This window comes from Homo sapiens, chromosome 3 (genome assembly GCF_000001405.40).
Source record: "Homo sapiens chromosome 3, GRCh38.p14 Primary Assembly".
In the NCBI taxonomy this organism is placed as follows: domain Eukaryota; kingdom Metazoa; phylum Chordata; class Mammalia; order Primates; family Hominidae; genus Homo; species Homo sapiens.
Window position 1 is genome coordinate 90,878,259 of NC_000003.12, and position 13,720 is coordinate 90,891,978.

At 37.6% G+C, this 13,720-nt stretch overlaps 1 annotated feature.

The window, feature by feature from the left end:
- Window positions 1–13,720: part of a centromere (Linear centromere model derived predominantly from reads generated in PMID: 17803354. This region does not represent an actual centromere sequence, as long-range ordering of repeats and unmapped WGS contigs is not provided by the model. For details of model production, see http://arxiv.org/abs/1307.0035.) that runs on past both edges of the window.

Consider the following 13,720-nt stretch of genomic DNA (forward strand, 5'->3'; position numbering starts at 1 on the left):
CTTTTCTGAGGCCATCTATGGAAACGGGATTTCTTCATATAAAACTTGAAAGAAGAATCCTCAGAAAATTATTTGTGATATGTGCGTTTAACTCATGGAGTTGCAACTTCCTTTCGATAGAAGAGTTTTGAAATACTCTTTTTGTAGAATTTCCAGTGGATTTTTACAGCGGTTTGAGGTCTATGGCAGAAAAAGGAATATCTTCACAGAAAAACTAGGCAGATTCATTCTCCGAAGCTGTTTTGTGATGCTTGCATTAAGCGGACAGAGTTTAAACTTCCTTTGATAGAGCAGTTTGGAAACACTCTTTTTGTGGAATTTGCAAGTGTATATTTAGAGCGTTTTGAGGCCTACAGTAGGAAAGGAAATATCTTCACATATAAACTAGACAGAAGTATTGTCAGAAACTTATTTGTGATATTGGCATTCAATGCACAGAGTTGAACATTCCTCTTGATGGAGCAGTTTTGAAACACTCTTTTTGTAGAATCTGCATGTGGATATTTGGACCTCTTTGTGGCCTTCGTTTGAAACGTGATTTCTGCATTTACAACTAGTCAGAAGAATTCTCAGAAACTCCTTTGTGATGTGTACCTTCAACTCACAGAGGTGAAGCTTCCTTTCAATAGAGCACTTTTGAAGCTCAGTTTTGGTAGAATTTCCGGGTGGATATTTAGCGCCGTTTGAGGCCTATGGTAGAAAAGGCAATATCTTCGTAGGAGAACTAGACACAATGATTCTCAGAAGCTACTTTGTGATGTGTGGGTTCACCTCACTGAGTTTAACCTTTCTTTTGATAGACCAGTTATGAAACACTCTTTTTGTGGAATCTGCAAGTAAATATTTGGACTTTTTTGAGGCCTTCATTGGAAACGGGGTTTCTTCACATAAACCTTGACAGAAGAATTCTCAGAAACTTCTCTGTGATGTGTGCGTTTAACTCTCAGAGTTCAACATTCCTTTTGATAGAAGAGTGTTGAAATATTCTTTTTGCAGAATTTCCACGTGAATATTTAGAGCGGTCTCAGGCCTATGTAGAAGAGAAACTATCTTCACGGAAAAACTAGACATAATTGTTCTCTGAAGCTACTCTGTGATGTGCGCATTCAGCTGACAGAGTTTAACCTTTCTTAGGATAGAGCGGTTTTAAACCCTTTTTTTGTGGAATTTGCAATTCTGTATTTAGAGTGCTTTCAGGCCTGTGGTACAAAAGGGAATGTCTTCACATAAAATCTAGACAGAAGCGTTGTCGGAAACTACTTTGTGATACCTGCCCTCAACTCTCAGAGTTGAATATTCCTCCTGACGGAGCAGTTTTGAAAAACTCTTTTTGTTGAATCTCCAAGTGGATATTTGGACCTCTTTGTGGCCTTCGTTTGAGACGTGACTTCTTCATACAAAACTAGACAGAAGAATTCTCATAAACTTCTTCATGATGTGTGCTTTCAATTCGCAGCGTTGAAGCTTCCTTTCGATAGAGCAGTTTAGTAACTCTCTTTTTGTAGAATTTCCAAATGGATATTTAGCGCCGTTTGAGGCCTATGGTGGAAAAGGCAATATCTTCATAGAAAAACTAGTCAGAATGATTCTCAGAAACTACTTTGTGATGTGTGCCTTCAACTCACAGAGTTTAACCTTTCTTTTGATAGAGCAGTTTTGAAAAACTCTTTTTGTAGAATCTGCAAGTGTATATTGGGACTTTTCTGAGGCCATCTTTGGAAACGGGATTTCTTCATATAAAATTTGAAAGAAGAATCCTCAGAAAATTATTTGTGATATGTGCATTTAACTCATGGAGTTGAAACTTCCTTTCGATAGAAGAGTTTTGAAATACTCTTTTTGTAGAATTTCCAAGTGGATTTTCACAGCGGTTTGAGGTCTATGGCAGAAAAAGAAATATCTTCACAGAAAAACTAGGCAGATTCATTCTCCGAAGCTGTTTTGTGATGCTCGCATTCAGCTGACAGAGTTTAAACTTCCTTTGAGAGAGCAGTTTGGAAACACTCTTTTTGTGGAATTTGCAAGTGTATATTTAGAGCGTTTTGAGGCCTACAGTAGGAAAGGAAATATCTTCACCTAAAAACTAGACAGAAGTATTGTCAGAAACTTATTTGTGATATTTGCATTCAACGCACGGAGTTGAACATTCCTCTTGATGGAGCCGTTTTGAAGCACTCTTTTTGTGGAATCTGCAAGTGGATATTTGGACCTCTTTGTGGCCTTCGTGGGAAACGTGATTTCTTCATTTACAACTAGACAGAAGAATTCTCAGAAACTTCTTTGTGATGTGTACTTTCAACTCACAGAGTTGAAGCTTCCTTTCAATAGAGCACTTTTGAAACTCAGTTTCTGTAGAATTTCCAGGTGGATATTTAGCGCCGTTTGAGGCCTATGGTGGAAAAGGCAATATCTTCATAGAAAAACTAGACAGAATGATTCTCAGAAACAACTTTGTGATGTGTGCGTTCAACTCACGGAGTTTAACCTTTCTTTTGATAGACCAGTTATGAAACACTCTTTTTGTAGAATCTGCAAGTAAATATTTGGACTTTTTTGAGGCCTTCATTGGAAACGGGATTTCTTCATATAAACCTTGACAGAAGAATTCCCAGAAACTTCTTTGTGATGTGTGCATTTAACTCTCAGAGTTCAACCTTCCTTTTGACAGAAGAGTGTTGAAATATTCTTTTTCTAGAGTTTCCAAGTGAATATTTAGAGCGGTTTCAGGCCTATGTAGAAGAGAAAATATCTTCACAGAGAAACTAGACATAATTGTTCTCTGAAGCTACTTTGTGATGTGCGCATTCAGCTTACACAGTTTAACCTTTCTTTGGATTGAGGGGTTTTATACACTCTTTTTGTGGAATTTGCAATTCTATATTTAGAGTGCTTTCAGGCCTGTGGTACAAAAGGGAATGTCTTCACATAAAATCTATACAGAAGCATTGTCGGAAACTACTTTGTGATACCTGCCTTCAACTCTCAGAGTTGAATGTTCCTCTTGATGGAGCAGTTTTGAAAAACTCTTTTTGTTGAATCTCCAAGTGGATATTTGGACCTCTTTGTGGCCTTCATTTGAGACGTGACTTCTTCATACAAAAGTAGACAGAAGAATTCTCATCACCTTCCTCGCGATGTGTGCTTTCAACTCGCGGAGCTGAAGCTTCCTTTCGATAGAGCAGTTTTGTAACTCTCTTTTTGTAGAATTTCCAAGTGGATATTTAGCGCCGTTTGAGGCCTATGGTGGAAAAGGCAATATCTTCATAGAAAAACTAGACAGAATGATTCTCAGAAACTACTTTGTGATGTGTGCCTTCAACTCACAGAGTTTAACCTTTCTTTTGATAGAGCAGTTTTGAAAAACTCTTTTTGTAGAATCTGCAAGTGTATATTGGGACTTTTCTGAGGCCATCTTTGGAAACGGGATTTCTTCAGATAAAACTTGAAAGAAGAATCCTCAGAAAATTATTTGTGATATGTGCATTTAACTCATGGAGTTGAAACTTCCTTTCGATAGAAGAGTTTTGAAATACTCTTTTTGTAGAATTCCAAAGTGGATTTTTACAGCGGTTTGAGGTCTATGGCAGCAAAAGAAATATCTTCACAGAAAAACTAGGCAGATTCATTCTCCGAAGCTGTTTTGTGATGCTTGCATTCAGCTGACAGAGTTTAAACTTCCTTTGATAGAGCAGTTTGGAAACACTCTTTTTGTGGAATTTGCAAGTGTATATTTAGAGCGCTTTGAGGCCTACAGTAGGAAAGGAAATATCTTCACCTAAAAACTAGACAGAAGTATTGTCAGAAACTTATTTGTGATATTTGCATTCAACGCACGGAGTTGAACATTCCTCTTGATGGAGCCGTTTTGAAGCACTCTTTTTGTGGAATCTGCAAGTGGATATTTGGACCTCTTTAGTGGCCTTCGTGTGAAACGTGATTTCTTCATTTACATCTAGACAGAAGAATTCTCAGAAACTTCTTTGTGATGTGTACTTTCAACTCACAGAGTTGAAGCTTCCTTTCAATAGAGCACTTTTGAAACTCAGTTTCTGTAGAATTTCCAGGTGGATATTTAGCGCCGTTTGAGGCCTATGGTGGAGAAGGCAATATCTTCGTAGAAAAACTAGACAGAATGATTCTCAGAAACAACTTTGTGATGTGTGCGTTCAACTCACGGAGTTTAACCTTTCTTTTGATAGACCAGTTATGAAACACTCTTTTTGTAGAATCTGCAAGTAAATATTTGGACTTTTTTGAGGCCTTCATTGGAAACGGGATCTCTTCATATAAACCTTGACAGAAGAATTCCCAGAAACTTCTCTGTGATGTGTGCATTTAACTCTCAGTGTTCAACCTTCCTTTTGATAGAAGTGGGTTGAAATTTTCATTTGTAGAATTTCCAAGTGAATATTGAGAGCGGTTTCAGGCCTAAGTAGAAGAGAAAATATCTTCACAGAAAAACTAGACATAATTGTTCTCTGAATCTACTTTGTGATGTGCGCATTCAGCTTACAGAGTTTAACCTTTCTTTGGATCGAGCGGTTTTAAACACTCTTTTTGTGGAATTTGCAATTCTATATTTAGAGTGCTTTCAGGCCTGTGGTACAAAAGGGAATGTCCTCACATAAAATCTAGACAGAAGCGTTGTCGGAAAGTTGTTTGTGATACCTGCCCTCAACTCTCAGAGTTGAATATTAATCTTGACGGAGCAGTTTTGAAAAACTCTTTTTGTTGAATCTCCAAGTGGATATTTGGACCTCTTTGTGGCCTTCGTTTGAGACGTGACTTCTTCATACAAAACTAGACAGAAGAATTCTCATCAACTTCTTCGCGATGTGTGCTTTCAACTCGCAGAGTTGCAGCTTCCTTTCGATAGAGCAGTTTTGTAACTCTCTTTTTGTAGAATTTCCAAGTGGATATTTAGCGCCGTTTGAGGCCTGTGGTGGAAAAGGCAATATCTTCATAGAAAAACTAGACAGAATGATTCTCAGAAACTACTTTGTGATGTGTGCCTTCAACTCACAGTGTTTAACCTTTCTTTTGATAGAGCAGTTTTGAAAAACTCTTTTTGTAGAATCTGCAAGTGTATATTGGGACTTTTCTGAGGCCATCTTTGGAAACGGGATTTCTTCATATAAAACTTGAAAGAAGAATCCTCAGAAAATTATTTGTGATATGTGCATTTAACTCATGGAGTTGAAAATTCCTTTCGATAGAAGAGTTTTGAAATACTCTTTTTGTAGAATTTCCAAGTGGATTTTTACAGCGGTGTGAGGTCTATGGCAGAAAAAGAAATATCTTCACAGAAAAACTAGGCAGATTCATTCTCCGAAGCTCTTTTGTGATGCTTGCATTAAGCTTACAGAGTTTAAAGTTCCTTTGATAGAGCAGTTTTGAAACACTCTTTTTGTGGAATTTGCAAGTGTATATTTAGAGCGTTTTGAGGCCTACAGTAGGAAAGGAAATATCTTCACATAAAAACTAGACAGAAGTATTGTCAGAAACTTATTTGTGATATTTGCATTCAACGCACAGAGTTGAACATTCCTCTTGATGGAGCAGTTTTGAAACCCTCTTTTTGCAGAATCTGCAGGTGGATATTTGGACCTCTTTGTGGCCTTCGTTTGAAACGTGATTTCTTCATTTACAACTAGACAGAAGAATTCTCAGAAACTTCTTTGTGATGAGTACCTTCAACTCACAGAGGTGAAGCTTCCTTTCAATAGAGCACTTTTGAAGCTCAGTTTTGGTAGAATTTCCAGGTGGATATTTAGCGCCGTTTGAGGCCTATGGTAGAAAAGGCAATATCTTCGTAGGAGAACTAGACACAATGATTCTCAGAAGCTAATTTGTGATGTGTGGGTTCAACTCACTGAGTTTCACCTTTCTTTTGATAGACCAGTTATGAAACACTCTTTTTGTGGAATCTGCAAGTAAATATTTGGACTGTTTTGAGGCCTTCATTGGAAATGGGGTTTCTTCATATAAACCTTGACAGAAGAATTCTCAGAAACTTCTCTGTGATGTGTGCGTTTACCTCTCAGAGTTCAACCTTCCTTTTGATAGAAGAGTGTTGAAATATTCTTTTTGCAGAATTTCCAAGTGAATATTTAGAGCGGTCTCAGGCCTATGTAGAAGAGAAACTATCTTCACGGAAAAACTAGACATAATTGTTCTCTGAAGCTTCTTTGTGATGTGCGCATTCAGCTTACAGAGTTTAACCTTTCTTTGGATAGAGCGGTTTTAAACACTCTTTTTGTGGAATTTGCAGTTCTATATTTAGAGTGCTTTCAGGCCTGTGGTACAAAAGGGAATGTCCTCACATAAAATCTAGACAGAAGCGTTGTCGGAAACTACTTTGTGATACCTGCCCTCAACTCTCAGAGTTGAATATTCCTCTTGACGGAGCAGTTTTGAAAAACTCTTTTTGTTGAATCTCCAAGTGGATATTTGGACCTCTTTGTGGCCTTCGTTTGAGACGTGACTTCTTCATACAAAACTAGACAGAAGAATTCTCATCAACTTCTTCGTGATGTGTGCTTTCAACTCGCAGCGTTGAAGCTTCCTTTCAATAGAGCAGTTCTGTAACTCTGTTTTTGTAGAATTTCCAAGTGGATATTTAGCGCCGTTTGAGGCCAATGGTGGAAAAGGCAATATCTTCATAGAAAAACTAGACAGAATGATTCTCAGAAACTACTTTGTGATATGTGCCTTCAACTCACAGAGTTTAACCTTCCTTTTGGTAGAGCAGTTTTGAAAAACGCTTTTTGTAGAATCTGCAAGTGTATATTGGGACTTTTCTGAGGCCATCTTTGGAAACGGGATTTCTTCATATAAAACTTGAAAGAAGAATCCTCAGAAAATTATTTGTGATATGTGCATTTAACTCATGGAGTTGAAACTTCCTTTCGATAGAAGAGTTTTGAAATACTCTTTTTGTAGAATTCCCAAGTGGATTTTTACAGCGGTTTGAGGTCTATGGCAACAAAAGAAATATCTTCACAGAAAAACTAGGCAGATTCATTCTCCGAAGCTGGTTTGTGATGCTTGCATTAACCTGACAGAGTTTAAACTTCCTTTGATAGAGCAGTTTGGAAACACTTTTTTTGTGGAATTTGCAAGTGTATATTTAGAGCGTTTTGAGGTCTACACTAGGAAAGGAAATATCTTCACATAAAAGCTAGACAGAAGTATTGTCAGAAACTTATTTGTGATATTTGCATTCAACGCACAGAGTTGAACATTCCTCTTGATGGAGCAGTTTTGAAACCCTCTTTTTGCAGAATCTGCAGGTGGATATTTGGACCTCTTTGTGGCCTTCGTTTGAAACGCGATTTCTTCATTTACAACTAGACAGAAGAATTCTCAGAAACTTCTTTGTGATGTGTACCTTCAACTCAGAGAGTTGAAGCTTCCTTTCAATAGAGCACCTTAGAAACTCAGTTTTTGTAGAATTTCCAGGTGGATATTTAGCGCCGTTTGAGGCCTATGGTAGAAAAGGAAATATCTTCGTAGGAGGACTAGACAGAATGATTCTCAGAAGCTACTTTGTGATGTGTGGGTTCAACTCACTGAGTTTAACCTTTCTTTTGATAGACCAGTTTATGAAACACTCTTTTTGTAGAATCTGCAAGTAAATATTTGGACTTTTTTGAGGCCTTCATTGGAAACGTTGTTTCTTCATATAAACCTTGACAGAAGAATTCTCAGAAACTTCACTGTGATGTGTGCCTTTAACTCTCAGAGTTCAACCTTCTTTTTGATAGAAGAGTGTTGAAATATTCCTTTTGTAAAATTTCCAAGTGAATATCTAGAGCGGTTTTAAGCCTATGTAGAAGAGAAACTATCTTCACAGAAAAACTAGACATAATTGTTCTCTGAAGCTACTTTGTGATGTGCGCATTCAGCTTACACAGTTTAACCTTTCTTTGGATTGAGGGGTTTTATACACTCTTTTTGTGGAAATTGCAATTCTATATTTAGAGTGCTTTCAGGCCTGTGGTACAAAAGGGAATGTCTTCACATAAAATCTATACAGAAGCATTGTCGGGAACTACTTTGTGATACCTGCCTTCAACTCTCAGAGTTGAATATTCCTCTTGATGGAGCAGTTTTGAAAAACTCTTTTTGTTGAATCTCCAAGTGGATATTTGGACCTCTTTGTGGCCTTCGTTTGAAACGTGACTTCTTCATAGAAAACTAGACAGAAGAATTCTCATAAACTTCTTCGTGATGTGTGCTTGCAACTCACAGAGTTGAAGCTTCCTTTCGATAGAGCAGTCTTGTAACTCTCTTTTTGTAGAATTTCCAAGTGGATATTTAGCGCCGTTTGAGGCCTATTGTGGAAAAGGCAATATCTTCATAGAAAAACTAGACAGAATGATTCTCAGAAACTACATTGTGATGTGTGCCTTCAACTCACAGAGTTTCACCTTTCTTTTGATAGAGCACTTTTGAAAAACTCTTTTTGTTGAATCTGCAAGTGTATATTGGGAATTTTCTGAGGCCATCTTTGGAAACGGGATTTCTTCGTATAAAACTTGAAGGAAGAATCCTCAGAAAATTATTTGAGATATGTGCATTTAACTCATGGAGTTGAAACTTCCTTTCGATAGAAGCGTTTTGAAATACTCTTTTTGTAGAATTTCCAAGTGGATTTTTACAGCGGTTTGAGGTCTATGGCGGAAAAAGAAATATCTTCACAGAAAAACTAGGCAGATTCATTCTCCGAAGCTGTTTTGTGATGCTTGCATTAAGCTGACAGAGTTTAAACTTCCTTTGCTAGAGCAGTTTGGAAACACTCTTTATGTGGAATTTGCAAGTGTATATTTAGAGCGTTTTGAGGCCTACAGTAGGAAAGGAAATATCTTCACATAAAAACTAGACAGAAGTATTGTCAGAAACTTATTTGTGATATTTGCATTCAACGCACAGAGTTGAACATTCCTCTTGATGGAGCAGTTTTCAAACCCTAATTTGCAGAATCTGCAGCTGGATATTTGGACCTCTTTGTGGCCTTCGTTTGAAACGAGATTTCTGCATTTACAACTAGACAGAAGAATTCTCAGAAACTTCTTTGTGATGTGTACCTTCAACTCACAGAGGTGAAGCTTCCCTTCAATAGAGCACTTTTGAAACTCAGTTTTGGTAGAATTTCCAGGTGGATATTTATCGCCGTTTGAGGCCTATGGTAGAAAAGGCAATATCTTCGTAGGAAAACTAAACAGAATGATTCTCAGAAGCTACTTTGTGATGTGTGGGTTCAACTCACTGAGTTTAACCTTTCTTTTGATAGACCAGTTATGAAACACTCTTTCTGTGGAATCTGCAAGTAAATATTTGGACTTTTTTGAGGCCTTCATTGGAAACGGGGTTTCTTCATATAAACCCTGACAGAAGAATTCTCAGAAACTTCACTGTGATGTGTGCCTTTAACTCTCAGAGTTCAACCTTCTTTTTGATAGAAGAGTGTTGAAATATTCCTTTTGTAAAATTTCCAAGTGAATATCTAGAGCGGTTTTAAGCCTATGTAGAAGAGAAACTATCTTCACAGAAAAACTAGACATAATTGTTCTCTGAAGCTACTTTGTGATGGGCGCCTTCAGCTGACAGAGTTTAACCTTTCTTTGGATAGAGCGGTTTTAAACTCTCTTTTTGTGGAATTTGCAATTCTATATTTAGAGTGCTTTCAGGCCTGTGATACAAAAGGGAATGTCTTCACATAAAATCTAGACAGAAGCGTTGTCGGAAACTACTTTGTGATACCTGCCTTCAACTTTCAGAGTTGAATATTCCTCTTGACGGAGCAGTTTTGAAAAACGCTTTTTGTGGAATCTCCAAGTGGATATTTGGACCTCTTTGTGGCCTTCGTTTGAGACGTGACTTCTTCCTACAAAACTAGACAGAAGAATTCACATCAACTTCTTCGCGATGTGTGCTTTCAACTCGCAGAGTTGCAGCTTCCTTTCGATAGAGCAGTTTTGTAACTCTCTTTTTGTAGAATTTCCAAGAGGATATTTAGCGCCGTTTGAGGTCTATCGTGGAAAAGGCAATATCTTCATAGAAAAACTAGACAGAATGATTCTCAGAAACTGCTTTGTCATGTGTGCCTTCAACTCACAGAGTTTAACCTTTCTTTTGGTAGAGCAGTTTTGAAAAGCTCTTTTTGTAGAATCTGCAAGTGTATATTGGGGCTTATCTGAGGCCATCTTTGGAAACGGGATTTCTTCATATAAAACTTCAAAGAAGAATCCTCAGAAAATTATTTGTGATATGTGCATTTAACTCATTTAGTTGAAACTTCCTTTCGACACAAGAGTTTTGAAATACTCTTTTTGTAGAATTTCCAAGTGGATTTTCACAGCGGTTTGAGGTCTATGGCAGAAAAAGAAATATCTTCACAGAAAAACTAGGCAGATTCATTCTCCGAAGCTGTTTTGTGATGCTTGCATTCAGCTTACAGAGTTTAAACTTCCTTTGATAGAGCAGTTTTGAAACCCTCTTTTTGTGGAATTTGCAAGTGTCTCTTTAGAGCGTTTTGAGGCCTACAGTAGGAAAGGAAATATCTTCACATAAAAACTAGACAGAAGTATTGTCAGAAACTTATTTGTGATATTTGCATTCAACGCACAGAGTTGAACATTCCTCTTGATGGAGCCGTTTTGAAACACTCTTTTTGTAGAATCTGCAAGTGGATATTTGGACCTCTTTGTGGCCTTCGTGTGAAACGTGATTTCTTCATTTACAACTAGACAGAAGAATTCTCAGAAACTGCTTTGTGATGTGTACCTTCAACTCACAGAGGTGAAGCTTCCTTTGACTAGAGCACTTTTGAAACTCAGTTTTGGTAGAATTTCCAGGTGGATATTTAGCGCCGTTTGAGGCCTATGGTAGAAAAGGCAATATCTTCGTAGGAGAACTAGACAGAATGATTCTCAGAAGCTACTTTGTGATGTGTGGGTTCACCTCACTGAGTTTAACCTTTCTTTTGATAGACCAGTTATGAAACACTCTTTTTGTGGAATCTGCAAGTAAATTTTTGGACTTTTTTGAGGCCTTCATTGGAAACGGGGTTTCTTCATATAAACCTTGACAGAAGAATTCTCAGAAACTTCTCTGTGATGTGTGCGTTTAACTCTCAGAGTTCAACCTTCCTTTTGATAGAAGAGTGTTGAAATATTCTTTTTGCAGAATTTCCAAGTGAATATTTAGAGCGGTCTCAGGCCTATGTAGAAGAGAAACTATCTTCACGGAAAAACTAGACATAATTGTTCTCTGAAGCTACTCTGTGATGTGCGCATTCAGCTGACAGAGTTTAACCTTTCTTTGGATAGAGCGGTTTTAAACCCTCTTTTTGTGGAATTTGCAATTCTATATTTAGAGTGCTTTCAGGCCTCTGGTACAAAAGGGAATGTCTTCACATAAAATCTAGACAGAAGCATTGTCGGGAACTACTTTGTGATACCTGCCTTCAACTCTCAGAGTTGAATATTCCTCTTGATGGAGCAGTTTTGAAAAACTCTTTTTGTTGAATCTCCAAGTGGATATTTGGACCTCTTTGTGGCCTTCGTTTGAAACGTGACTGCTTCATACAAAAGTAGACAGAAGTATTCTCATCACCTTCTTCGCGATGTGTGCTTTCAACTCGCAGAGTTGCAGCTTCCTTTCGATAGAGCAGTTTTGTAACTCTCTTTTTGTAGAATTTCCAAGTGGATATTTAGCGCCGTTTGAGGCCTATGGTGGAAAAGGCAATATCTTCATAGAAAAACTAGACAGAATGATTCTCAGAAACTACTTTGTGATGTGTGCCTTCAACTCACAGAGTTTAACCTTTCTTTTGATTGAGCAGTTTTGAAAAACTCTTTCTGTAGAATCTGCAAGTGTATATTGGGACTTATCTGAGGCCATCTTTGGAAACGGGATTTCTTCATATAAAACTTCAAAGAAGAATCCTCAGAAAATTATTTGTGATATGTGCATTTAACTCATGGAGTTGAAACTTCCTTTCGATAGAAGAGTTTTGAAATACTCTTTTTGTAGAATTTCCAAGTGGATTTTTACAGCGGTGTGAGGTCTATGGCAGAAAAAGAAATATCTTCACAGAAAAACTAGGCAGATTCATTCTCCGAAGCTGTTTTGTGATGCTTGCATTCAGCTGACAGAGTTTAAACTTCCTTTGATAGAGCAGTTTGGAAACACTCTTTTTGTGGAGTTTGCAAGTGTTTATTTAGAGCGTTTTGAGGCCTACAGTAGGAAAGGAAATATCTTCACATAAAAACTAGACAGAAGTATTGTCAGAAACTTATTTGTGATATTTGCATTCAACGCACCGAGTTGAACAATCCTCTTGATGGAGCAGTTTGGAAACACTCTTTTTGTAGAATCTGCAGGTGGATATTTGGACCTCTTTGTGGCCTTCGTTTGAAACGTGATTTCTTCATTTACAACTAGACAGAAGAATTCTCAGAAACTTCTTTGTGATGTGTACTTTCAACTCACAGAGTTGAAGCTTCCTTTCAATAGAGCACTTTTGAAACTCAGTTTCTGTAGAATTTCCAGGTGGATATTTAGCGCCGTTTGAGGCCTATGGTGGAAAAGGCAATATCTTCGTAGAAAAACTAGACAGAATGATTCTCAGAAGCTACTTTGTGATGTGTGGGTTCAAGTCACTGAGTTTAACCTTTCTTTTGATAGACCAGTTATGAAACACTCTTTCTGTGGAATCGGCAAGTAAATATTTGGACTTTTTTGAGGCCTTCATTGGAAACGGGGTTTCTTCATATAAACCTTGACAGAAGAATTCTCAGAAACTTCTCTGTGATGTGTGCGTTTAACTCTCAGAGTTCAACCTTCCTTTTGATAGAAGAGTGTTGAAATATTCTTTTTGTAGAATTTCCAAGTGAATATTTAGAGCGGTTTCAGGCCTATGTAGAAGAGAAACTATCTTCACAGAAAAACTAGACATAACTGTTCTCTGAAGCTGCTCTGTGATGTGCGCATTCAGCTGACAGAGTTTAACCTTTCTTTGGATAGAGCGGTTTTCAACACTCTTTTTGTGGAATTTGCAATTCTATATTTAGAGTGCTTTCAGGCCTCTGGTACAAAAGGGAATGTCTTCACATAAAATCTAGACAGAAGCATTGTCGGGAACTACTTTGGGATACCTGCCTTCAACTCTCAGAGTTGAATATTCCTCTTGACGGAGCAGTTTTGAAAAACTCTTTTTGTTGAATCTCCAAGTGGATATTTGGACCTCTTTGTGGCCTTCGTTTGAAACGGTGACTGCTTCATACAAAAGTAGACAGAAGAATTCTCATAAACTTCTTCGTGATGTGTGCTTTCAACTCGCAGCGTTGAAGCTTCCTTTCGATAGAGCAGTTTAGTAACTCTCTTTTTGTAGAATTTCCAAGTGGATATTTAGCGCCGTTTGAGGCCTACGGTGGAAAAGGCAATATCTTCATAGAAAAATTAGACAGAATGATTCTCAGAAACTACTCTGTGATGTGTGCCTTCAACTCACAGAGTTTAACCTTCCTTTTGGTAGAGCAGTTTTGAAAAACTCTTTTTGTAGAATCTGCAAGTGTATATTGGGACTTTTCTGAGGCCATCTTTGGAAACGGGATTTCTTCATATAAAACTTGAAAGAAGAATCCTCAGAAAATTATTTGTGATATGTGCATTTAACTCATGGAGTTGAGACTTCCTTTCGATAGAATAGTTT